This window comes from Homo sapiens, chromosome 15 (assembly GCF_000001405.40).
Source record: "Homo sapiens chromosome 15, GRCh38.p14 Primary Assembly".
In the NCBI taxonomy this organism is placed as follows: domain Eukaryota; kingdom Metazoa; phylum Chordata; class Mammalia; order Primates; family Hominidae; genus Homo; species Homo sapiens.
The window spans coordinates 76,960,251-76,986,441 of NC_000015.10; the positions used below are offsets into that span (position 1 = coordinate 76,960,251).

Below are 26,191 nucleotides of genomic sequence, written 5' to 3' on the forward strand. Positions count from 1 at the left end.
GAATCTGGTTATAGCAGAGTGAGAAAATAATTCTTTTTCTGATCATAGAAGTAAAGGTATAACAAGATGCAAAATGAATGAGGCAGTCTCCACCAAATAGGCTTGGCTTTGGCAATGACCCCAGGGAGTCCTGGTTTCCCACTGCTGCCATGCGCTGACCCTTTCCCATCACGCTTCCCACCCTTGCTCTTCATTTGTTGCCTAACTTAGCCTCAATGAATGACAGTTCTTCTTGGTTTGTTTCTCACCGGTGCTGTAAGCTCCCTGAGGCAGGGACTGTGTTACTGATGACTTTATGTTTCCTTCAGTTTCCACCAGACATATAGTAGAGGCTAAATGTCTTATTTGCTTGATTGTTTGTTCATTTTCCAATTTGTGGAGGTTTAATCAGTGATTCTCAAACTTGGGGTACATTAAGACCATCTGGGGAGCTTTTCAAAAATATCGATGCCTGGCTCCCCTCCCTGGAGATTCTGATTCAGATGGTCCAAGGTGGCCCAGGTGATTCTAATATGCGGCTAGGGTCGAAAGCTCGTTCTAGCTCAGGGTTTCTCAGCGGTGGCACTGTTGACATTTTGTGCAGAATAATTCTTCATGAGGGGCGAGGAGGGCTGTCTTGTGCTTAGTAGGATCTTAGCATCCCTGGCCTCTACTCATGAGATGCTAGTACTTCCCTCCCCCAGCCAAGGTGTGCCAGACAAAAATGTCTCCAGACGTTGCCCAAGTGTCCCGGGGGTGCTAAATCACTTTCTATTCAGAACCATTGGTCTACTTGCTCTGAGTTGCTTTAAGAGCCTGGTTTTAGGCCGGACACGTTGGCTCACGCCTGTAATCCCAGCACTTTGGGAGGCCAAGGTGGGCGGATCGCCTGAGGTCAGGAGTTCGAGACCAGCCTGACCAACATGGAGAAACCACGTCTCTACTAAAAATACAAAATTATCCGGGTGTGGTGGTGCATGCCTATAATCCCAGCTACTTGGGAAGGCTGAGGCAGGAGAATAGCTTTAACCTGGGAGGTAGAGGTTGCAGTGAGCCGAGATCCCCTGGGAAACAAGAGCGAAACTCCATCTCAAAAAACAAAACAAAAAGCCTGGTTTTGAAAGCCCATCGTCTTGTTTTCTGTGTCTGCCTTCACAGGAAGCTGCAGGACAGTGTCTGGGAAAAGCACTGAGCTGATGTCAGAAGTTCTGACTGCCATTCAGTAGTGGGACGTTCAACATTAAAACTGTTGCCAGGTAGCTCTCTCATATTCCCTGGGTCTGTTTCCCCAGCAGAGGGCTAACGAAGAGGTCAAACTAGTGGATCTTTCCATTTCCTTCCAGCTCTCACATTTTCTCTCTGCCGGCTTTCCCCTAGCAACCAGTTGGAATTGGAGTGTATTTTACATTAGATACATTTACTGAAAAGAATTTTATATTTCCCAGTTAATTAAGAATGAGTTAATTAAATTGCTTTAATGGTTGTGACTTTATTGATTTTCCACCTCTACCTCAGTAAGTTTCTTGTACACCCTCCCCCATGCCCAACCTCCCAGGAGACAAACTAAAAGTAAGGCCTGATATTGTTTTCATTCCTAAGTTACATAACCAGTTTCAGTGTGGAATATGATTTAAACAGACAGGAAGAAACACTGCCTTTTTATGAGAGGAATTTAAAAGTGGAGATGATGAATTTAACAATTTAACTTTCAAAGACAAAAAAAGTCTGTAGGAATTTTAAAAAGTAGATGTTATTTTTAAAAAGGGTAATGCTAGTATTAAATGAATTTAAATGACCGATTTCCAGTTTGGGGTGTGTGACTTCAAATGAATCTGTGATAATCCAAAGAGACGCCCGCCCGCCTGCCTGCCTTTCTTCCTTCCAAAGTTGTTTATTGAGCTGTTCACAGGTGAAACATGGTGGTGTAGCAGCACATTGCCCATAGATCACACTGTGAATGGAGCACCCTGGAGTTGTGCAAATGGTGGTCCTGAAACAAAAATGGCTGCCACAGGGGCCTTTCCCTTTAATAGCTAACTATCAAATCAGAGGAACAGACCTGTATACAACTACCTGTCAAGCAGACAGGGTAGAGTCCCTAAGACCTCCTAGTCAGTCCCAGTGAAGCCTTCCTCACTCTCCCAACCAGAAACCTTCGAGTCTTTGACTCCCACCTTTCACTTCATGTCCAATCCAGCCACTTCTTGCTATCTCCACTGCCATTGCCTGCGTCATCTCTTGGCTGCATTAACATGGTTGCCTCTTCCCCACCCTCTACCGGTTTCTCCATTATTCACTCTCTACAGGGCACCAGAGCATAGAACGTCTGCTTCTGTTCCCCTTTTCACTCAGCGTAAGAGCCGAAGTCCTTACAATAACTAAGAAGCCCTACAGGATCATCTCCTACTGTTTTCCCCTCATTTACTCCTCTCCCTCCATACTAGACACCATGATAGTTCCTCAAACACACGCCAGGCTCCTGCTTCAGGACTTTTACACCAGCTGTTCCCTCTCCCAAGAATGTTCCTCCCAGATAGCTATAGGGTGACTGCGTTACATCCCTTAGCTCTTGGTGAAAGTCATCTGCTCCATGCAGCTGCCCTTTACCACCCTATTTAATACTGCAACCTGCCACCCACATACTGACTCCCCAGCCCTAAGCCTGCTCTTGTTTTTTCCCCACAGTATACCACCTTCAAACATAATGTATTTATAATGTCTGTTTCCTTCCACTAGAACATAAGAAGATCCCAGGGGGCAGGGTTGTTTTCTTCTTTCGTATTTCCAAGCACCTAGAACAGTTCCTGGAACATAATAACTGCTCCAAAAAAAAGCTTCCTGAATGAGTGGATGGATGAATGAATGAATGAATGGTTGAAGCCCCCTAGTCTCCCACTACAATTTCACACTTCCACAACAACACTTATGGATCTTCACCCATAAGCTGTGAAGTCTGACCTTGGGCAAGTTCCTTAGCTTCTCTGGGTCTCTATTTTATTACTGCTAAGTGGGGTTGATAAGTTCCTGTATTTACCTAATAGGGTCATTGTGTGGATTAAATGAGTTCTTTCCTGAAGAACGGTGACTGGCACACAAAGTCCTCAATAAATGTTAGCTGTTATTACTGTTTTTTTAATTATTAGGTTGGTGCAAATGTAATTGCAGATTTTGCCATTTAAAGGTAATGGCAGAAACCATTATTCTTTTGCACCAACCTAATTAAAAAAAAAAGATTTAGAGGCGGGGGTTTCCACTATGTTACCCAGGCTGGACTTGAACTTCTGGCCACAAGTGATCCACCCACCTCAGCCTCCAGAGTAGCTGGGACTTCAGACCAGAACCACTGCTCCTGGCTCTATTACTGTTGTTCTTAAAGCTGTTGACCAGGGACAGAATAGGGGCTTGATGTGTAGTGAGGGAAGAAACGAATGACTGAATGAACTCCTGTCTGCTTGAGAGACTAGCAATGGCTGGACAGAGGCTGGAATAGCACGTCAGGTGTGCTGAGCTGGGAGCCTGGGCAAAGCAAAGCTGGGAAGGCAGGTCAGGCGGGGACGGATGCTCTGTGGTGCCCCACGAGGAGGAGTTTGGACTTGATCCTGCAGGCTATGAGAGAGGAACCGGTGATCCTGCAGGCTATGAGAGAGGAACCGGTGCCCAGATCTGCATTTTGAGGAAAGTGTGTGGAGAACGGATTATTAGTAGGTGGGGAGATCAGTTAGGAGGGTGTAGACGTTTCTGGAAGGGAATAATGGGCCTTTGGGTAGAACAACTGTTGTGGGAACAGAGAGTGGAGACATTTTGGCGGCAGAACCATCAACAGGACTAGTCTGACATGCTTCATTAAAAAGCAAACCCTGTATCCGCTCCTTCAGTGCAAGCTTAGGAAGTTGATCCACTTTTTATGCTCTATCAGGTAGAAAAATATGATTAATATGAATTATATTGATTCATACCTACCATGAATTTCTAAATGAACTTTAATTTGTATTAACCGGCTCTTTGGGCTTATTAGTCAATACAGAAACCGACGGTTTTTCTCCTGGGAGAATGTTTAGACTAGGAAAAAAAAAAAAAAGGAAATTCTTTCCTTGCTAGGTAATAAGAGAAGGATGAGGTAAGCATGGCCAAAACACAAAGTGAAGAAAAGTTCTGGAACCCGCTGTCATAAAACAGTCCTCATGAAACCTCAGCAGGTACTGGCACAGCTGCTTTTAAAGGTTAAAACAGGAAATACACACATTCTGATTAAAGCCCATCTAAGTTCTGATAAGAGCTGATGAGGGTTTGAAAACATTGGCATTTCAGGATCTCGGTAAAGTGACTTTCTAAGCAAAAACAAAAACAAAAACAAAAGACAAACAAACAAAAACCAGGGTGGAGGGAGGGGCAAAGCTTTGATAAAGCTGCAAGGTGAGATGAACTCAGCAGCTGGAGTTAAGATGCCAAAGATGAAGCCTCCCTGTCTGCATATATTGGCCAGCAATTGACAGCTCTGCCCCTTGAACATAATTGCCTTCCCTCTTGGTCTGGGAAATTTCACAGTTTGTTGTCAGTCTTTGATGCTCAGGTGGTGTTAAATATTTTAAAACCAACAGAAACCTCCAAATCCTAACATCTCTGCCCAGATGTCAGCCCAGATCTGGCTTCTCTTTCTCCAGAGCTGTGATTGTTATTGTTACTTTAAAGTAGTTCTCATCCATTGGACGTCACATATCCTGAAAACCTGTGTTCTCAGAATTTTGAAATTTGCCTTTTTAAGGTCTTCAGGAAATGTGTGCAGGCATTTAACGCACACAGCTGTTTTAAATGCATGATGAGGGCATGACTATGCTTAGATATTGCCACCTCCAAGACAAGAATGGCCGTTTTCTTGTTAATTCTTTCTTTAGTGGCCAAAATTGGGTCCAAAGGAGAAGTTTCCTTTGCTCTCTGAGATAGAATGGTCAGCAGGGGAAGGTTAGATGTGTCGGCTGCTCTGTGTCCAGCCCTGTGAGACTTGATTTGTGAGGAGGTGCTGCTGGTGAGGGAGGAAGCGCCTCAGGAAGAAGCCCAGGTAAGCCCAGGCAGCTGTGGATTGTGCAGGCCCTGGCACACGCTTTCCTACTGGGCACTTAGAAACACTTCTGTGCCTTGCAACCTTGCTTTCTTTGGGGATATTTCTCCATGGACATTGATAAGATTTGGCTGCATCCCTACCCAAATCTCATCTTGAATTGTAGCTCCCATAATCCCCACATGCCGTGGAAGGAACCCAGTGGGAAGTAATTGAATCATGGGGGGTGGGTTTTTTCCTCTGCTCATCTAGTGATAGCGAGTAAGTCTCACAAGATCGAGTGGTTTTATAAAGGGCAGTTCCCCTGCACACACTCTCTTGCCTGGTACCATGAAAGACGTGCCTTTGCTCCTCCTTCGCCTTCCACCATGATTGTGAGGCTTTCCCAGCCATGTGGAACTCTGAATCCATTAAACAAACCTCTTTTTCTTTATAAATTACCCAGTCTCTGGTATTTCTTCATAGCAGTATGAAAATGGACTAATATAGCCGTGTACTCCAGTGGCTCTTAAAATGCAGTTCCGTGACCCGTAGCATCAGCATCACCTGGGAACGGGTAAGAATGCAAATACCCAGGCCCCATCCAGACCTCCGAATCAGAAACTCTCGAGCGAGCCCAGAAATCTGTGGGTTTTGTTTGTTTGTTTGTTTGTTTGTTTTGAGATGGAGTCTCACTCTTGTTGCCCAGGCTAGAGTGCAATGGCACGATCTCGGCTCACTGCAACCTCTGCCTCCTGGGTTCAAGCAGTTCTCCTGCCTCAGCCTCCTGAGTAGCTGGGATTACAGGCATGTGCCACCACACCTAGCTAATTTTGTATTTTTAGTAGGGATGGGGTTTCACCATGTTGGTCAGGCTGGTCTCAAACTCCCGACCTCATGTGATCCACCCGCCTTGGCCACCCAAAGTGCTGGGATTACAGGCGTGAGTCATTGTGCCCGGCCTGAAATCTGTGTTTTAACAAGTCCTCTGGGGGATTCTCATGCACAGTCGGAACCATCGATTTCAACATGATTCTACTGGAATGGTTCATCAAATGGCTTTACTTGTAGTTTAGTCTTTATTCTTTGCTTCACAATTCTGTGCACCTGAAGTATCCTCATCGTAAGGCTGCTGTTACCCTGTCAGCAACAACTGTGAATGGAGGGAAGGGGGGACTTGGGAGGTGGGCAGCCTTCAATCTTCACACCTTTAAAAGGGGCAAGAACTCACAAGCGGAAAAACAACAACATTTACTCTAAAGAGAAAAGCAATTGCTATTTGGAAACAGTGGCAGAGCAAATTGAGGTGATAACCATAAAACATTTTTACTTCTGACAAGAGAGTCCCTTTAGGGCAGGTAATGGTCTGTTAAATATCAAAGGAGCAGACCAAAGACCTAAGGACACTTAATATGGAGAAGGGATGAGCTGGGGAGAGGGAAGGGATGTGGGCTCTGTCTCAAGGAGCCACAGCCCCGTCATGTAGAAGAGGACCAGGAACAAGAGGCATATGCAGTGAGCCATGAAAAAACAGTTGGGGGCTTCTTCTGATACAGAGCTAACCAACAATGGGATGGCATCTTAGGAGTAAAAAGGAGTTCCTGGCACTGGGAGTATGTAAGTCTGTATGGTCGCATGACAGAGATGCCATAGTAAAGGCAATTCTTGTATCAGGCAAGAAACTGCACCAGGGTCAATATTTTGCAGACTTTAAAATCATGTTTTAAAGCAGAACTCTTTCTTCGAATGAGATAATACACCATGGTACCACAATTTATAAAACAAAGCGGGGCCTCTTTGGTGATCCCTGGAATAGGGATCTGGAGCCCTCCCATGTGGACACCTCTTTGGAATATCCTGGGTGCATATCAAGTCCTTTCCGACAGGAGCTCCTTTGATTCTGTGGTTCTTTGAGAATTTTCCAAACCGGAACTTCTGCTCCCCTCCCAGGCTTTTCCTGAGCTGCCCACACACTTCCTTGGATGTGGTGTCACCAAGGTGGTGATGTTTATGGGGAAGGGGAAAGACGTGAGTGTGTGCACTGCTGCAGCCACATACCTCACATGCCCCTCTCCAGGGATGGCACACGGTGAGGGCTTTCCATGCTGGGGTCAAGGATTGCAGGGGCAGCAGATGGCAGAGGCTGCAATTTGAGTTTAACCAAGCCTTTCACCACCTTTGGTGCAGACAGGAGAAAAGGCAGGGAGCCCCAAAGCCTGCGCCAATGGGAAGGGCAGGGGTAGAATTGGTTTTGCCATGCTGGGGGAAACCTGTCTTGAAGGTAGCCTAGGAGACTGTCAGAGCCTGCCCTGGTGGTGGGATTTCAGAGGTGAACCTGGGGGACTTCCCAGACTCTAAAGGGGCCAAATGTGAGAAGGCCCATGGACTTGCCACAGAGGGGAGGGCCGCCAGCCAGGGCCTGCCTTTGTCTGCCCAGACTTGCTGGCTCTGAGTCTGTTTTTTCCAACAGAACCAGAACTTTGTCATAAAATTCTTGGACTACTTGAGTTTCTGGATTAGAAAGTCTCCTCCTCACCCCCTCCTCACCCCCTCCCCACCCCCACAATGATGATAGCTCCAGTCTTTCTCATAAACACCTAACAAGAGTAAAATGTTTTCCCTTCAGAAGGATAACAAAAAGAATAACACCAAGGAGATTTCGTTATAGTGCAGCTGCTTCTCTGGTTGGCAAGAGACACAGCTGTAACCTGGAGCTGTTTTTGTTTATTTGAAAGGAAAGGCAAGACAAGTATTCATTAATTCCACAAACATTTACTGAGCCCACAGAGCCACTGGGATTCTGCTGGTCACTGGGGAGATACATATATATGTATATGTATAATACCTATATATAGGTATTATATAATATACCTATATATGTGTATTTAATATACCTATATAATATACCTATATATAAAATATATATGTATATGTATGTGTGTGTGTGTATATATATATATAATATATATGTATATAAAATGTATAAAACTGGGTCTTGCTCTGTTTCCCAGGCTGGAGCGCAGTAGTGCCATCTTAGCTCACTGCTGCCTTGAACTCCTGGGCTCAAGAGATCCTCCCACCTCAGCCTCCCAAGTAGCTGGAACTACAGAAGCAGCCACCACACCTGGCTAATTTTTTAATTTTTTGTAGAGATGGGGTTTTGCTATGTCACCCAGGCTGATCTCAAATGCCTGAGCTCAAGTAATTCTCCTGCCTGGGCCTTCCAAAGCACTGTGATTACAGGCATGAGTCACTGTGCCCAGCCATTGAGGATATTAAGTCAGCCCCAGCTCTGAAGGTGCCATCAGTGAGGAGGAGATGGACATAAGAAAATCACAGCCCAGGTTCTAAAGGCCTCATCTTCTTTAAAAAAAAAAAAAAAAAGAAAAGAAAAGAAAAAAGAAAGAAAGAAAATCACAGCCTGGAAATCCGTGAATTGACACTGATAAGTTCACACAGGCTATACAGTTAGCCAGGTGAAGAAAAGAAGGATACCAAGCCTTCTAAGCAGAGAGTAGAGCATGTGTGGGCAGCCCAGAGTCAGGGAAGTGTGGGCTTCCTCCTTGGTAGAGAGGGGCATGAGAGGTGCTGGGTAGAGAGGGCCAGAATGTTATAGGAAAGGCATCCTGATCCAGACCCCAAGAGAGGGTTCTTGGATCTTGCACAAGAAATAATTCAGGGTAAGTCCGCAGTGCAATGTAAAAGCAAGTTTATTAAGAAGGTAAAGTGGTGAAAGGACGGCTACTCCATAGACAGAGCAGGACGTTCCCGAAAGTAAGAGGAGGAAGGCGTCCACCCTGGGTACAATGCTTGTATATATGGAGAGATGTGCTCTGCTACAAGGGTTTGTGATAAAGGATTAATTTTCTTAATTATGATATTTTGCAAGAATTGATATTATTATCTTTAAAGCAAAATTAGGAATGCCTGTGTTCTCCAGATATCAGGATATCTGGACATTCCCGTCTGGGTCTGTTTAGTAAACATTATTAATTTTTTCCCTTAACTGTAAATATCTAGAGGCCAGGAATGCCTGACTTTCTGAGAATGCAGCCCAGCAATTCCCAGCCCCATTTTCCTAGCCCTTACTCAAAATGGAGTCGCTCTGGTTCGAATGCCTCTGACAAGAAGATAGACCAATATGAGGGGCCAGGCAGGTCTGGTGGGTGCTGTCTGTCAAGCTGAATTTGGACTTTATCCTATGAATGATCAAAAACTGTTGATGGGTTTTAAGCAGGGGAGAGTCTTGACCACATTGGTAATATAGAAAAACTCTGTGAAATAAGGATGTACAGGATTTGCATCTAAAATGAACTCAGATCAAAATACAAAAGGCAAGCCTGCCGTGGTGGCTCACATCTGTAATCCCAGCGCTTTGGGAGACTGAGGTGGGTGGATGACTTGAGGCCAGGAATTGGAGACTAGCCTGGCCAACATGGTGAAACCCTGTCTGTACTAAAAAAATACAAAAATTAGCCGGGTATGGTGGCGCGTGCCTGTAGTCCCAGCTATTCACAAGGCTGAGGCAGGAGAATCACTTGAACCCAGGAGACAGAGGTTGCAGTGAGCCCAGATCAAGCCACTGCACTCCAGCCTAGGCGACAGAGCAAGACTCTGTCTCAAAACAAAACATAATCAAAAAAGGCAATTAGTTGCAGGACTATTTGTAATGAGAAACAGCCCAAATGTCTGTCAATAGGCTGGCTGAATGAACTATGGTACAGCCATGCCAAGAAGTACTAGGTAGCTGGAGAAAGAAGTGAAGACTGTTTCCATATAGAATATATCATTAAGAAAAGGAATGTGTGTCTCACAGTTCTCTAAGGAAGGCAGGGATGCAAATATATAAACATGTAAATGTATCTGCTTATATTTAAAAGCACACAAGCAATGGAAGGATAAAGCAATGAAAAGTGGCTACCTGTAGGAGGAGAGAGGGAGCAGAACGGAAGAGATAGAGATGGAAGCTGGACTTATTTGAAGATAGCTTGTTTTGTACATGTGACTTTGGAACTGAGTAAATATTTCATAAAAGTAAAAAAATTACATAAAAATGAATCCCCCCAAAAAGAAGCAAATAAACATAATGTGCATCTGGTTGGTGGAGTCAGCACACAGATGAACTGTTCTAAACACAGTAATTTGACTGTACAACCCCAAAAGGATATAGCCTGAAGACAAAAAGAACTGCAAATACACAAACGAAAATCTTAAATTGTTTTCAGCAGTCACTTGGCTGATGGGAGACTTGGTATTGGTGTTCTGAGACTGTTGTGTGCAGTGTGGAATGAAGCAAATGAGAAATTATGTGAAATTCTAATTCTGGAATTCCTGGTGTTTTTGAGAAATGAGATTCTGGACATGGGAGAAAGGAGGTACAGATGGAAGAAGGAAGAGGTTGTGCAAACACCCTGTAGACCTAAATTTAATTGAAAGTATCAATATGAACTTATGATGTGCCTTATATTTATATTGAGAAAAAATGTATTTCCTAGTTCTGACCTCAGAAAAGACCTAAGAACAATAAGCATTTCAGTAGCTATGAGCACCCCAGTACCTAGATTATCTTCTTGAAATATACCCAGTAAAAGAACTAGTGTTCCCTGAAAAAGTGATTGATTCCAGGTCTGAGACAGGAAATGGACAACAGGTGACTGGAACATTGGCCATATCAGATGGCAAGAAAGTTCTCTAAGACAGCTAGGGTGGTGTCCAAAGGACTCAGGAGTCAACTTGAAGAGGCCCCCTCTGGCCAAAGATGGGACCATTTTTGCATCAATAAAGGCAAAAATTGCAATGGATTGAAGCACATCAAATATGTTTAACTCCATGAGTTCATAATGATACTAAAACATATCTAATTGGTCACCTTTGGAGTATTCGGTGGTTCATAAACTGATAAAGAGAAATAATTGAGCATTTATCCCGCCTATACTGTACAAACTACTACTGGGTAACCAAATAGTAGATAAGGAGACGTTTCTCTTTATAGAAGTAATTCAGCTCGTAAATCAAGAAGAAATGGTAGAATTAGAATATTGCCATGTGGCAATCCCTAATTAATGGATAGTGGCACTGATCAGCAATGTCTGCTAATATCACAAATTGAGATAACCAGACCTCATAGGCCTCCTATGAAGTATTCTTGCCAAAAAATTGGACCTGAATCTAGATTCAAATGGCAATTTACAGGAAATACAGGAGATAGAAGAAAATATTAAAGGACACAATGGATATGCAATCAGTCATTCTATACTGTGGGAAGCTCTACAGGATAAATGATCTAGTTTCTTTCTTTCTCTTTTCTTTTCTTTGTTTTTGAGACAGGGTCTCGTCTGTCACCCATGCTGGAGTGCAGCAGCATGATCACAGCTCACTGCAGCCTCAATCTCCCAGACTCAAGTGATCCTCCTGCCTCAGCCCCCCTGAGGAGCTGGGACTACAGGTGCACACCACCATACCTGGCTAATTTTTGGTTTTGTTTTTTGGCAGAGACAGGGTTTTGCTATGTTGCCCATGCTGGTCTCAAACTCCTGGGCTCAAGTGATCCACCCTCCTCGGCCTACCAATTTCTGGGATTACAGGTGTGAGCCACTGCACTGGGCCTTATTATCTAGTTTCTTAAACAAATAGGCTGTAAAGAAAAACAGACAGACATGTAAAGGAAACTGATAGTTAAAAGAATCACAACCTGCAAAACTTATTTAGATCAAGATTCAAACAATCTGAACAGAATAAAATAATTTTTTGGTGACATATGAAACACAATTAGAAATTTGAACACTGGCTGAATATTTGATTATATTAAAATTATTGTCAATTGTTTTTAAGTGGGATATTGTGGCTATGATTATTTTCAAGAGTTTTAAAGGGAGAAGAAACATAAATACTTCTCAAAACTCTCTTCAAAATCATCTTCCTTCACCAGTTTCCTCTCTGCTTAGAATAAGCTTGTTATTTCAAACTCAGGGCCAATGCAATGTGAAGATGAAAAATAATTTGGGGAGCAAAATATATCGTGGATATACATATGTAAAAATATAGTATGTATACTTACATTCCCAGTTAAGTATAGTATTCCTAAGTCAATTTATAGAATTTTCAAGCACATTTAAAAAATAGTACTGAATTATTGAAAATACCACCGAAATTCCTTCCAGCTATGTGACTATGCAGAAGTTCCAGATTAAAAAGTCCTTAACATAAGAGAGATGTTATGTAATCGTCTTTGCCTATGAAGTTAATGTCCAGATTTTGGACAAAAACATGTTCACCTCATATCCTAAAAATAAGTATTTTAAGTCTTTTCCATACAGGTGCCAGAGAGTCATGTGTTCATTTTATTAACACCAGAGGCAATAACACAGTGCTAAAAATAAGCACGTGTCTATGCATGTATTTTTAACTACAGGAATGGCATTATGTTATAAAAATCTCACTTGGTTTCCTACTTTTCTCATTAAACACTTTGATTTTAAGATATATCCATTATATCCATAATGCGTGTACTTGCAGTGCAGCAACCCCACTTTCCTTATCTACTCCCGGGCCGGCGGACTCTCCCGCCGCCCCTCGCTCCCTCCTCATAGGCACAGGAACAGAATTTCTGAGTCATAAGACTGATACAGACGTTTCAGTCTGGAAAACTGCAAGCACGGCAGATGCCAAAACCCCTTTCCTGTGCCTGAAAGAGAACTTCTGGAGGTATGAAGGGCAATAATGCCTCCCATCCTCCCTGTGGCTCCAGAATTAACTCTCGAAACAACAGGATTTGGGGTAGGAAGGTTACAGCTAAGGAGCCGCCAGTCCCCACCCATCTGCTCTGGGAGAAGTTATCTCGAGGTCCAGTTAAGCGGTCCAGCAACTCCGAAGGACTCGCTGGAAAGTCCTGCACACCAAGCTTGCCCCTTCTGCATAGCTCGGGGTAGGGAGCAGCCACCTCTTGTCTCAAGACTGAGGAGGCCTGGGGCAGGGCGGGGCAGGCAGAAGACTTGAGCAGGGACACCCTGGGATGAGGTGGTGCCTCCTTGATCGCTGCACCTGCCCCTGCACCTGGGGTGGGTCTGAGGGGAACAGCATCACTAACTGCTGGACTGAAGCCACCATAGGAAGCTCAGGCTTCTTGGGCTAAATAAAATTCAGAAATGTCCAGACTGGCTGTGACACCAGGCTCTTCAAGCAGCCCTGACACAGGGGGTCTAGGGGGCTTTTGCTGACTTCTGCTGCTCCACCTTCCTGGGCTCTAGGAGGCGCTGTTCCTCCAGCATCCAAGAATCAGCCTGAACCAACGGCAGCTGCCAGGCGACAGCTCAGAGCCCAGTGGGGGTGGTAAAGACCATTCAGATAAAGGCTTGGGGAAGAACAATGGAAATTGTTCCCGGCAGCACCCAAACCTGGAAAACTCTTTTGGGGCAGAGCTTGGGTGTCTCCTGCCTTGATCTCAGTGCCATCTTTCTCCCCTGGCTCCAGAAGTTTCTTCTATTCTTCCAGATTTTCCAAATGCAGACCAAGAGGGATTGAGCTCTCCTCTACCCTGCCTGGCCCAGAAGTTCCATTTCCTACCTCCTTCTAGCAGGGGAGCAGGGGCCTTCCTTGGTGGCCCCCAGGATGGCCCTATCTCAGAAAGACACAACCACGACTTCTCTGTATAATAGACACCACCACACAGTAAGTAGTGGGAGGATGGGGTGGGGAGGGACTTTTATTTGTCCTTTAGGCCCTTAACCCATGGCATGACTCTGATGGTTAAGGACAGCCTGGGACAAGTCCAGTGAGATTAGGGTAGGAGAGTGGGGAGGTGAGTAAGACCCCATGGGGGTGTGAGTGCCTCTGAGGCAACCTAGAGTGGAGGTGGAGGGGGTGGCAGACCCTTAGGAAATAAGCATGACCCCTGGCTGGGTAAGGGCACCCACTATGAGGGTAACAGTCACTCGTTCATCCCACAACCATTTTTGATATCTGTAGGTGTCAGGTACCATGCTAGTTGAAGGATATAATTGTGAACAAGTGATGTGTGGGTCTTAGTGTCGAAGAGCTGACATTGGAGGATATCAGAGACAAAAATCAAGTAAGCAAATACAGCATTGTTAACTGCAGTAAGAACGAGGAGGACAGACACAGGCCCACAAGGAGGTCCGGGTGGCTCCTGGCATCAGGGCCATATGTAGCTCAGCTTGGGGTTCAGGGTCCTAACTCCAGCTCTGGCAGGCTGGAGGAAGAGTCCCACATCCAGATGAAGTGGCACTTATGGGTCTGAAAGATATAAGCCCGGGTCTAGGGGCTGAGTGGTCCTGTATGCCAGGGGGCATGCCAGGAGCTTCACCATGTTAATGTGCTTCATCCAGAGAGGAAGCTGACCACCAGCAATGCTTGTGAGACTGGCTGCTGGCTGCCTTCTTATTCTCCTCTTGGGTCAGGGCTGACCCTCTGATGGGGTGGGGCTGAGGCTGGCCAGCAGGGAGGCCAAGCTGTTGGATCAGAGGAAGGCGATGTCAGACACCAGCCCCTGTCACCCACCAGCTCTTCCCTTCCCATTGTCCCTGGCTGGCCCTGGCCCAGCCTCTCCAGCATCCTCATTTGCCTCCCTGCCTCCGGCTCACCCTGCCCACATATCCACCAGGGGCTGCCGTTGTTTCTCTGATTAGTTACTGTGTTGCTGCCAAATTAATGCTTCTAAACCATATTTTATAACAGCAGCCTTCATCTGCAGAGAATCTTTGAAAATACTTGGCTTGGCATTTAAAGTGGTACAAAAATGTGGCCTTACTGAATTTTTACAGCTTTATTTATCCTTTCAGAGGTGCATCCTGCACGTATGTCAAACTGTGGGTCCTCATCCCTCTGCCACACCTCTGCTCAGTTATCTTTCTCTCCTTCAACCCCCCTCCCTGCCACCCTCCTGCATCCCTCTGGGTAGTGAAACAGCCCCTTATTCAGTCAGCCAGCCTTGCATTCAGCAGGCTCTGCAGGCTCCCACTCTGTGCCCGCCATTCCTGGGCAGCACTAGGACCCCCCCTGCTCTGACACCTCATCCACTTGTTTTGTAATCTTATTAATCTTCATTTATTAACTCCTGAATGAGACCTTATCCTTCTGCTCCTCTGAACTGTAACCCTTCAATGGCAGAGGCTGCATCTTGCCCATTCCTTGGCCTCATGGTTCCCTGCCTGTGGCAGGGGTCAATAAATGTGCTACATGACCTGGACTAACATGGGCTCTGGAAGGAAAGCACTAAATACTGGCCTGGGGGCTGGAACTCAGTCTCAGCTCTGCCACTTAACTGCTGGATAGTCTCTGGAACATTACTGTCTTTTTCTGAGCCCCAGGATCCCCAGCTATAACATGCGGCTGCCATCCGTGTCTTGGTTACCTTACTAGGCTAAGGTGGGAGACTGCAGGTGCGGGCTGTTATTATAAGGGTTTTCCCTGAGGGTGGGGTGTGTACTGGGGCAGGGGGAGATATTGTGTTTCTTGGTGCCTCTTGGCCATAAGACCTGAGCAAAGCCAGCATGAAGCCCCTCCACAACCCTCAGATGGCAACCCAGGGGGTTAAGGCGGGGGGGATGTGAGGCAATGGCCAGCAACCCCATACACACCTGTTTAGGTGAGTTGCAGATAAGGTGCTCTTATGCTCCCAGGGCTTTCTGCCAGCATTGAGGAGAAACAGGAGCTCTTCTCCAGCCAGGTGAACATGGCCTCGCTTGGCAAGCTTGCAGTCCTACATTCCGGTAGGTTACAGGCTGCTTCCAGTAACGCAGGGAAGCTGGGGAAGGATGAGTTGGGACATTTTATTATGGTGGACTATCTGAGTGGAAATGGATAGCTGAGCCCTCTGAGGACCCGCAGCCTCATTACCCAGAGGGGAAACCAAGGTTCACGCAGGAGAAGGGGCTTGTCCAAGGTCACTTTTGCAGTCTTGTCTCTAAGAATATGGATTTTGGAGACAGGGAGATTTGAATTCTGCCACTTACTAGCTATAAGAGCTTGAGCAAATTTCAAGCCCTGAGGCTTAGTTTCTGCAAATGTTAATGAGGAATCACAATTCTGATATTTTATTGCTATGAAGATTAGAGGAAATGATAGATGAAGAGCTTGCTCCTGAGTGGCTGTTCAGGCCTCCAGCCCCAAGTCCCTAGGCATAGGATGATGGGGGAACTGCTGAGAAGGGCCTTCTTGTTTCTCAGGCAACAAAACTGCCAAAGGCTTTAGGAGAGAATCCTAGTGGGGTTTGGGTTGGGGGAACTCTGATTTCAAGGAAGTGAGTGGCTTGGGATCTGGTCCAGCCTTCCCGTCCTTTCCTTTCATTCATCTGCTCATTCATTCCACAGATGTGGATTAAGCATCCACTCAGGGACAGATTCTGTCCTGGATGCTGCTCTATCAAAGAGAACTAAAACCCAACTGCTCCCCACCCTAAATGCTCACAGTCCAGTGGAGAAAGAGAGAGAGAGACAAGGCAAAGAGACACTGTCAGAGTGAAATTGCTGTTAGAGGTGTGTGCATGACACACGGGGAACCCTGAGGAAGTGGAGCTGCTGAAGAGTCATGCTTCCTTTTTTTTTTTTTTTTTAACTGCAGAGCACTTTGTTATGGTTGAGACCTACCTTTCTGTATAATTTTATAACCTGCTATTTCTTCTTAAATTTTTTTTAGAAATGAGGTCTCACTATGTTGCCCAGGCTGGAGTTCAGTGGCTATTCACAGGTGCAGTCCCACTGATCAGCATGGGAGTTCTGACCTGCTCCATTTTGGATCTGGGCTGGTTCACCCCTCCTTGGGCAACCTGGTGGTCCCCCGCTCCTGGGAGGTCACCTTGTTGATGTCAAACTTAGTGTGGACATCCAATCAGCACAGCACACTGCAGCCCAGAACTCCTGAACTCAAGCGATCCTCCTGCCTCAGCCTCCCAAGTAGCTAGGACTACAGGCACGTGCCACCGCATCCAGCTATTATTATTTTTAGTTAACATGTAGTAATTGTACATATTTATGGGATACAGTGTGCTATTTCAATACATGTATATGATCCATAATGATCAAATCAGGGTAATTAGCATACCCATCACCTCAAACATTTATCTTTTTTTTTTTTTTTTTTTTTTTTTTTGTGATGGAGTCTCATTCTGTCACCCAGGCTGGAGTGCAGTGGCATGATCTCAGCTCACTGTAACGTCCACCTCCAGGGCTCAAGTGATTCTCCTGCCTCAGCCTCCCAAGTGGCTGGAATTACAGGCACTCACCACCATCCCCAGCTAATTTTTGTCTTTTTAGTAGAGATAGGGTTTCACCATGTTGGCCAGGCTGGTCTTGAACTGTTGAACTCAGTGATCTGCCCGCCTTGGCCTCCCAAAGTGCTGGGATTACAGGCATGAGCCACCGCATCCAGCCCATTTATCATTTATTTGTGTTGGGAACATTTAAAATCCACTCTTCTAGCAATTTTTAAATATACAATAAATTGTTAATTATAGTCATCCTAGGGTGTTATAGAACACGAGGGCTTATTCCTCGTATCTAGTTGTGATTCAGTATCCTTTAACCTCTCACTATCCCCCACCCTTCCCAGGGTTTAGTAACCGCTATTCTACTTTCTACTTCTACGCACTCAACTTTTTTAGCTCCCACATATGAGTGAGAACATGTGGTATTTTTCTTCCTGTCCTTGGCTTATTTCACTTAACATGATGTCCTCCATGCTCATCTGTATTGCTGTGAATGTCAAGATTTCATTTTTTTTCTGGCTGGATAGTATTCCACTGTGTATGTATACCAGATTTTCTTTATCCATTCATCCACTGATAGACACTTAGATTGATTCCATATCTTTGCTATTGTGAATAATGCTGCAATAAATATGGGAGTGGAGATAGCTCTTCAATATACTGATTTCCTTTCCTTTGGATGTATACCCTCTAGTGGGACTGTGGGATCATATGTTAGTTCTATTTTTAGATTTTTGAGGAAACTTTATACTGGTTTTCATAATGGCTGTACTAATTTACATTTCCATGAATAGCATATAAGACATCTTTCTCCACATCCTCAGCATTTGTTATTTTTTGTCATTTTTATGGTAGTCATTCTAATTGGGATGGGATGATATCCCATCACCATTTTGATTTGCATTTTCCTGATGATTATTGATGTCACACATTTTTTCATATACCTGTTGGCCATTTGTATGTCTTTGAGAGATGTCTATTCAGCTCATTTGCCCATTTTGAAATGAGATTATTTGTTTTTTTGCTGTTGAGTTATTTGAGTTCCTTGTGTATTCTTGATATTAGTCTTTTGTCAGATAGATAGTTTGCAAATATTTTCTCCCATTCTGCAGGCTGTCTCTTCACTCTGTTGATTGTTTCCTTTGCTGTACAGAAGCTTTTTAGTTTGATCTAATTCCATTTGTCTATTTTTTGCTTTTGTTGCCTGTGCATTTGAGGTCTCCATTAAATCTTTGCCCAGACCAATCCAATGTCCTGAAGTGTTTCCTCTATGTTTTCTTCTAGTAGTTTTAGTTTTTGCTTTTCTTTCTTTTTCTTTTTCTTTTTCTTTTTTTTTTTTTTTTTTTGGCATAGCTAGCTGAGGTTTTCTTTTGGAAAAAAAAATCGAATTGGCTTGTAGCTGGAGGCATGGCCAAGTGGGACACCCCAGGCAGTAAACTCCCCCTGCGGGTGGGCTTCAACCTCCCCCACAGGCTCTGGGGCAGCCGCAGGAGGGATAGGCTGGGCGGGGCTGCCATGGCCGTTCACCTGGGCAGGACGTCTGAGGACTAGGACACCAGCTTCCCATCGCGGGTCTCCATCTTCTTCACAACCATGGAGCTGGTGCGGCTGAAGGAGCTGGAGCCTCCAGCCAGAGCCAAAGCTGGAGCCCAGGCCGTAAGCTGAGGCTGGGGCTTGTGACGCCCCCGTAGCCCGAGCTCAGCACATCAGCATAGCCACTGGTAGTCTTCGTTTGGATACTCATGTTCTGCATCCCAGACGCCAGCCGGCTCTCCTCGCCCTCCAGCAGCTTCCTGTAGGTGGGATTTCCATGTCCAGGACCAGCCTGACGTTCATCAGCTCCTGGTACTCAGGCAGCTGCCGCACCATGTCCTGCTTGGCCTGCCGCAGGGCGGCCTCCAGCTCGGACAACTTGGCATTGGCGTCCTTAACAGCCAGCTCCCCGCGCTGCTCGGCATCTACCATGGCGGCCTCCAGGGAAGCCCTCTGGTCTTTGAGGCCCTCAATCTCAGCCTGGAGCCGGCTGATGTTCCAGTTCATCTCCGAGATCTCAGTCTTTGTGCACTGCAAGTCATCGCCGTGCTTCCCAGCCAGCGTCTGCAGCTCCTCATGCTTGCTCTGGTGCATGCTCTCAGCCTCAGCCCGGCTGCGGTTGGCGATCTCCTCATACTGTGCCTTGACCTCAGTGATGATGCTATCCGTGTCCAGGCAGCGGCTGTTGTCCATGGACAGCACCACAGGCGTGTGGGAAATCTGGGACGGCAGCTCCTGGATCTCCTCTTCATACAGTTGCCTGAGGAAGTTGATCTCATCAGTCAGCGCTTCCAGGCCAGACTCCAGCTGTACCTTGTTTATGTAAGCTTCATCCACATCCTTCTTGAGGAGGACAAATTCATTCTCCATCTCTGCACGCTCATTGATCTCATCATCCTACTTGTTCTTGAAGTCCTCAACCAGCCCCTGCATGTTGCCAAGCCCTGCCTCCAGCTTCAGCTTGTCCTGGCCCAGAGTCTCCAGCTGCTGCCAAAGGTTGTTGATGTAGCTCTCGAACTGGTGGTCCACGTTGCTCCGAGCCTTCTTCTGCTGCTGCACGAGGCTCCACTTGGTCTCCAGCATCTTGTTCTGCTGCTCCAGGAACTGTACCTTGTCGATGAAGGAGGCAAACTTGTTGTTGAGGCTCTTGATGTGCTCCTTCTCCTGGGTGTGCATGGCCTGGATGTTGGGGTCCACCTCCAGGTTAAGGGGGCTCAGCAGGCTCTGGATGATCATGACAGCTGTGATGCCTCCGATACTGCTGGCCCTGCCATAGCCTCCACCCAGGCCACCCTGGAAGCTGCTGCTGCCCACTCAGGAGAAGCTCAAGGAGCTGATGTGGGCACCAGGCCCACTCATGTAGGAGCGGCTGCTGAAGGCCTGGGGGCCAGAGGTGGACACCTTATAGGACTTCTAGGTCACCCTGATGGACATGGTGGAGGCAGGAGTGGAGGCAGATGGGCTGAACCAGGTGGACATTCAAGAAGGAGCAGAGAAGCTGCTTCTAGGTCCCTTCTAGTAGTTTTCTAGTTTGGGGTCTTACATTTAAGTTTTTCATTAATTTGGATTTAATTTTTTTAATGATGAGAGATAAGGATCTAGTTTCATTTTTCTGCATATAGATATCCAGTTTTCCCCATACCCATTTATTAAAGAGACTGTCCTTTCCCCCAAAGGACATTATTGGCAGCTTTGTTGAAAATCAGTAGACTGTAAATACATGGATTTATTTCTGGGTTGTCTATTCTGTTCCATTGATCTATGTGTCTGTTTTTATGCCAGTACCATGCTGTTTTGGTTACTATAGATTTTTTTAGTAAATTTTGAAGTCAGGTAAAGCTAGAGGTGTGATGACTCCAGCTTTATCCTTTTTGCTTAAGATTTATTTGGCTGGCCACGTGCGGTGGCTCACACCTGTAACCCCAGCACTTTGGGAGGCCGAGGTGGGCAGATCATGAGGTCAGGAGATCAAGACCATCCTGGCTATCACGGTGAAACCCAGTCTCTACTAAAAATCCAAAAATTTAGCTGGGCGTGGTGGCGGGTGCCTGTAGTCCCAGCTACTTGGGAGGCTGAGGCAGGAGAATGGCGTGAACATGGGAGACGGAGCTTGCAGAGAGCTGAGATTATGCCACTGCACTCCAGCCTGGGCGACAGAGCAAGACTCTGTCTCAAAAAAAAAAAAAAAAAAAGATTTATTTGGCTATTTATTCTTTGTTAGCCTGCTTTTTTTGTAGTTGTTATAGATAGGGTCTCTGTAGCCTCCACCCCCGCCCCCACTGCCTCCCCAACCCCCTGCCCTGGGCTTAAGTGATCTGCCCACCTCAACTTCCCAAGTAGCTGGGTCTACAGACACGTCACCCACACCTAGCTAATTTTTGTATTTTTTGTAGAGACTGGGTCTTCCATGTTGCCCAGGCTGATCTTGAACTCCTGGGCTCAAGCAATAAGCCTGTCTCAGCCCCCTAAATTGCTGGGATTACAGGTGTCAGTCATCACACCCAGCCTAACCTGCTATTTTTATTTGGTATTATGTAATAAACATTTGCCCTATAATATTATAAAACTCTTGGTAAACATTTTCAATGTCTGTGATGTATTTTCTGTAAAGCAATGCCATAGTTTTTAGGTTTTTGGTTTTTTTTTTTTTTTTGGCGGGGGGAGGGGGGGTGGGTCTCATTCTATTGCCCAGGCTGGAATGCAGTAGTGTGATCATGGCTCTCTGCAGCCTTGACCTTCTGGGCTCAAGTGATCCTCCCACCTCAACCTCCCAAGTAGCTGGAATCACAGGTATGCAACATCACATCCAGCTAATTTTTTGATTTTTTTTTTTTTTGAGACAAGGTCTTGCTACCTTGGCCAGGCTGGTCTCAAACTCCTGGGCTCAAGTGATCTGCCCACATCAGCCTCTCAAAGTGCTGGGATTACAGGTGTAAGAAGTAGGCTTGGACATTTAGTTTCGTTTTCAGGTTTTTTCTTTGACAAATAATACTGTTACAAATATCTTTGTACAGAATTATTTCCCATGATTCTTATTTCCTTGGGGTAGATTTTTAGTCATGGAAATTCTGGACACAGTGTGTGAACATTTTAAAATCTCTCAATAATCCCTTGATACTTATGGCCTGAGTGACTTTCTGAGATGGCTTTCTGGTGTGTCCAGTCGCAGTTATGGCCTCGTCCTTGCAGCTGTGTGGAGATATGGGAGTTACAGAAGAAGAGAAGGTGGGCATGGAGTGTTTTGAATCACACGGCTCTGGGGTTCTTACTAATCACAGGGCTGTGGCCACATGGCCTCATCCTCCTGAGATTCATTTCCTCGTCCGTGTGATGGAAGTGATAATACTACCCTCAAGCAGTTTTGTGAGGACCAAGGCCCGTGAATGTGCAGCACACAGCTCAGGGTCTGGCACACAGAAGAGCACAGCAATTGTTTATCGCGATAGCATGGCATCTCCTTGGTTGGGACTGGTGTAAACGTTTGGCCTCTGGAAGCTGAAGCTGCAGAGTGAGACCCACCAACCCAGGCATGTGTGTCCCTACATTGACCCAGCCAGGGCCCCCAGGATCCCTTCAGACAGATGGGCAGAAAGCAAAAACCAACACCAAGGTCCGAGACCAGAGAAGGTGAGCAAAGGGCTCTGAGGGCAAAACAGAGTGGGGAAGCGATCGTCAGGCTGCCTGGGAGAGGAAAAAAAGGGGACTGGGAAGGAGCGGGAGGGAGAGAGCTTGGTCGGGGAGAGGAGGAGTGGACAGGAAAGGTCGAGACCAGAAGATGAGGTCCAAAGGGAAGGGTTGGTTCAGTACCAGGACATAAGGTGAATCCAGCTACTATGTGGCCAGAGGAATGGGCAGGAATGGGTCCCAGGAAGTTCTGACAGCCAATGCCTAGTTCTATGACTAGCTCACTGTGTGACCCTGAACAAGAACCTCACCCTTACTGCGCTCCGGTTTACCCATTTGCAGAAGTTCCTGGGTGTCCTTCGAACTTGGACAACCTCTGGCCTGGCAGTGTCCTGAAGAAATTGACAACCCTCCATCTGGACCTCCGCATAAGTTTAAAAACCTAGCAACATAGCTCCTCTGCAGGAGACAGGAGACAAGTGCTGGTGTAACCGAGTCTCTTGGAACAATGGGAAGCCTTTCGGGAGGATTATTGGAAGAAAATCCAGAGGGAGGGGGCTTGCTTAAAGAGAGTGACCACAGCCAGAGCAGAGCAGAGTGGTGGGGGAGGAGTGGGGGGGGGAGGGGTGGGGGGAGGGAGGCAGGGGGTGTGGACAGAGGGAGCGTGGGTGAGAGGAGTGCCAAGGTGGGAGGTGCCCAGTGGGGAGTCCCAAGGCAGGGCAAGGATTGTCTTGGGCTCCCTGCCATTCACCCCATCCCTTAATGAAGATTAGAAAATGTCGCCTGCTTTGGCTGATGAAGTCTCATGTTTATATTGCTTGGCTAGAAGAATAAGGTCTTGTTTTCAGACCTCACTCATTCCCTTGGCTGGATACGCTTGTGTTTCAGGTTGGGTTCTGCAGAAGCAGAAACACTGAGACAGAATTTGAGGTACGTGATGTTTATTAGTGGTCAACAGCTAGGAAAGGAGCGGGGAAGCAGGCTTGGGCAGAGGGAAGCTGACCTGTGCTGCAGCTCAGCAAAGTCTCAGCTAAACCAGCAGTGTTCATCAAAGTTGTCCAGCATCAGATCTAAGTGGATGGGCCTCTATACTCCTGCCACCATCAGTCACCAGATGTAGGCTACCCCAGCAACGGCATAACCTGAGATGAGGTGGCCCTCAGCAGTGGAGGCAGGCTCTGCAGGAACTGAAAGCTGAGACTGTCTGATGACCTCTCTCCCTGCAGCTGAGCAGCAGGTCCTTCCTTGAAGGGGGAATCTGGGCTGCACATCTCCATGTCTATCACACTTTAAGCAGTGAACCACCCTCTCAACTGTACATGGCAGAGAGACAAACTTTAGAGAATACAAACCTATGCTTTGGACAGATGCTTTAATAAATGTGGATAGGGAAAATAAGTCATTGTGTTTGTACTAAAGGAGTCCCAATTAGGAGAGTCAGATTCTCTGAGTCCATTGCTTCCTGATTTTCTGGCCTGGCAGTTTTGAAATATCTGGCTTGTCATATTTCACCACTTCCCTCCCCTCCTGCTGTGCTAGCTCCTGGGCCTGGTAATATGCTTCTGCTGGATGAAGGTGCCACGTTGTTCTGTTTAAAGCAAAGAGCATTGTTTCCCTTCTTTTCCTATTTCTGTGGGATTTGGCCATGAGGCCTTGAAGTCAGGAGTAAGGAGGTAGCCCGAAAGACATGGGACCTGAGTCCTCAAGAGGAGGATGCATCTGGCTTCAAGGCCTTTAGTGCCCTGCTAGTTCCCTTAGCTTGAAGTCCAAACCCTCAGCCTGGCATGAAGTGCCTGATGAGCTGGGCTGCTTCCTCCCAGCCTGGCACAGAGTGGGGGCTCAGTGAGTAAGAATGAGGAAAAATACCAGGCACAGTTGCTCACACCTGTAATCCCAGGACTTTGGGAGGCCAAGGTAGGTGGGTCACCTGAGGTCGGGAGTTCTAGACCAGCCTGACCAATATGGAGAAACCCCGTCTCTACTAAAAATATAAAATTAGCCGGGGGTGGTGTCGCATGCCTGTAGTCCCAACTACTCGGGAGGCTGAGGCAGGAGAATCTCTTGAACCCAGGAGGCGGAGGTTGTGGTGAGCCGAGATCGTGCCATTGCACTCCAGCCTGGGCAACAAGAATGAAACTCTGTCTCAAAAAAAAAAAAAAAAAAAAAGGAAAAATGCTTATTTCTGTTAATAGTGATAATAATAAAAGGACGCATGTTTCTCTAGGCTCCACCAAACCATAGGTACTCATAGGGGCTCAGTACCAGCGATAAGCTAAAGTTGCTGGGTTCATCTGCTCATACAAAACCTCAAGTGTCGGCTAGGCGCGGTGGCTCACACCTGTAATCCCAGCACTTTGGGAGGCTGAGGCAGGTGGATCACTTGAGGTCAGGAGTTCAGGGCCAGCCTGGCCAACATGGTTAAACACCGTCTCTACCCAAAATACAAAAATTAGCTGGGTGTGGTGGCAGGTGCCTGTAGTCCCAGCTACTCAGGAGGCTGAGGCAGGACAATCACTTGATCCCGGGATGCAGAGGTTGCAGTGAGCTGAGATCGCACCACTGCATTCCAGCCTGGGCGACAGAGCAAGATTCCATCTCAAACAAACCAAAAAAAATCCTCAACTGTCTCCTCAAGGTCTACTCCAAACAATTTCTAGGAGATAAGAGGTAAAGAATAATGAGTTAAGAGCCAGAGCTCTGGACTCACCACTGAAACGAACCAGGGATCCTTGGAGAAAGGTTGATTTGAGAGCAAGGGGCAGGTAACTTACAAGATAAGCCTGAAAACTTGGGCCAGAAAGTAAAGAAGTGCTCAATAAATGATGGGGCCATAACAGAAGGGAACAGAAGCCACCCTAAGGGGCTCGCAATGGCCACATCTGGGATAATTTGAGCATCATAATAAATAATAATAGTAACAGATTATAACTCATTGGATGAAATAGAACTTACCAATCCCACACTAATATAATTAAATGGATAAATAATTGGGAGAAGGGAAAATTCTTCCTTACGGTATAATAAATGTAGATGGAATGATGAAGTTGGAGAATCACCAACGGATGCTAAAACTAGTGGGCAAAGATGCAAAGAGAAACATGATCTACATATTTACATAGTCTCAAAGGATTTCCCCACAAGATACTTACAAATGACTAAGGGAAAAACAGTAACTTTAAGGTGGAGAAAACTGGTGGACACTACTTTAATCGAGTGATCAGAGTTAACAACACCAATAGTGGGACAAATTGACATCACGTGCCTCCTGTTATGATGCACTGAGATAGACGCAGCATCACATATGTGGTATCTTTTGCCAAAAACACATCATCTGAGTCTAATCATGAGGAAAGCACTTGACACAAACCCAAATTGAGACGCTTTCTATGAAACAACTGGCCTGCAATCTTCCAAAGTGTCAAGGTCATGAAAGTCAAGGATAGACTGGGGAACTGTCACAGAATTAAGGAGACCAAGAGAAAAAAACACAAAATTTTAAAGGACATTACAATTAATGAAATTAAATTTGAATATGGAGTGCAAATTAGACAATAGCCTTATATTGATGTTAAATTTCTTCTTCTTTTTCTTCTTTTTTTTTTTTTTGAGTGAGGGTCTCACTCTGTCACCCAGGCTGGAGTGCAGTGGCATGATCAAGGCTCATTGCAGTTTCCACCTCCCCAATTCAAGCAATCCTCCCACCTCAGCCTCCCAAGTAGCTGGGACTTCAGACACATGCCACCATGCCTGGCTAATTTCTTGTAGAGATAGGAGTTTGCCATGTTGCCCAGGCTGGTCTC

General features: G+C 46.1%; 1 long non-coding RNA gene and 2 pseudogenes across 2 annotated transcripts; 1 reads left to right on the forward strand and 2 right to left on the reverse strand.

Moving 5' to 3' along the window:
- The first annotated feature begins 12,653 nt into the window (after positions 1-12,653).
- Positions 12,654-22,977, forward strand: LOC105370904 (uncharacterized). 2 transcript variants are annotated; one of them, XR_932492.2, is made up of 3 exons: positions 12,654-12,718; positions 13,505-13,681; positions 22,734-22,977. It is a non-coding gene; the product is annotated as an uncharacterized LOC105370904 (long non-coding RNA). The 2 variants fall into 2 exon arrangements; XR_001751618.1 differs by lacking the exon at positions 12,654-12,718 and adding an exon at positions 12,742-12,938.
- RN7SL278P (RNA, 7SL, cytoplasmic 278, pseudogene) lies at positions 16,665-16,960 on the reverse strand (annotated as a pseudogene).
- KRT8P23 (keratin 8 pseudogene 23) lies at positions 18,579-20,277 on the reverse strand (annotated as a pseudogene).
- Positions 22,978-26,191: the final 3,214 nt, after the last annotated feature.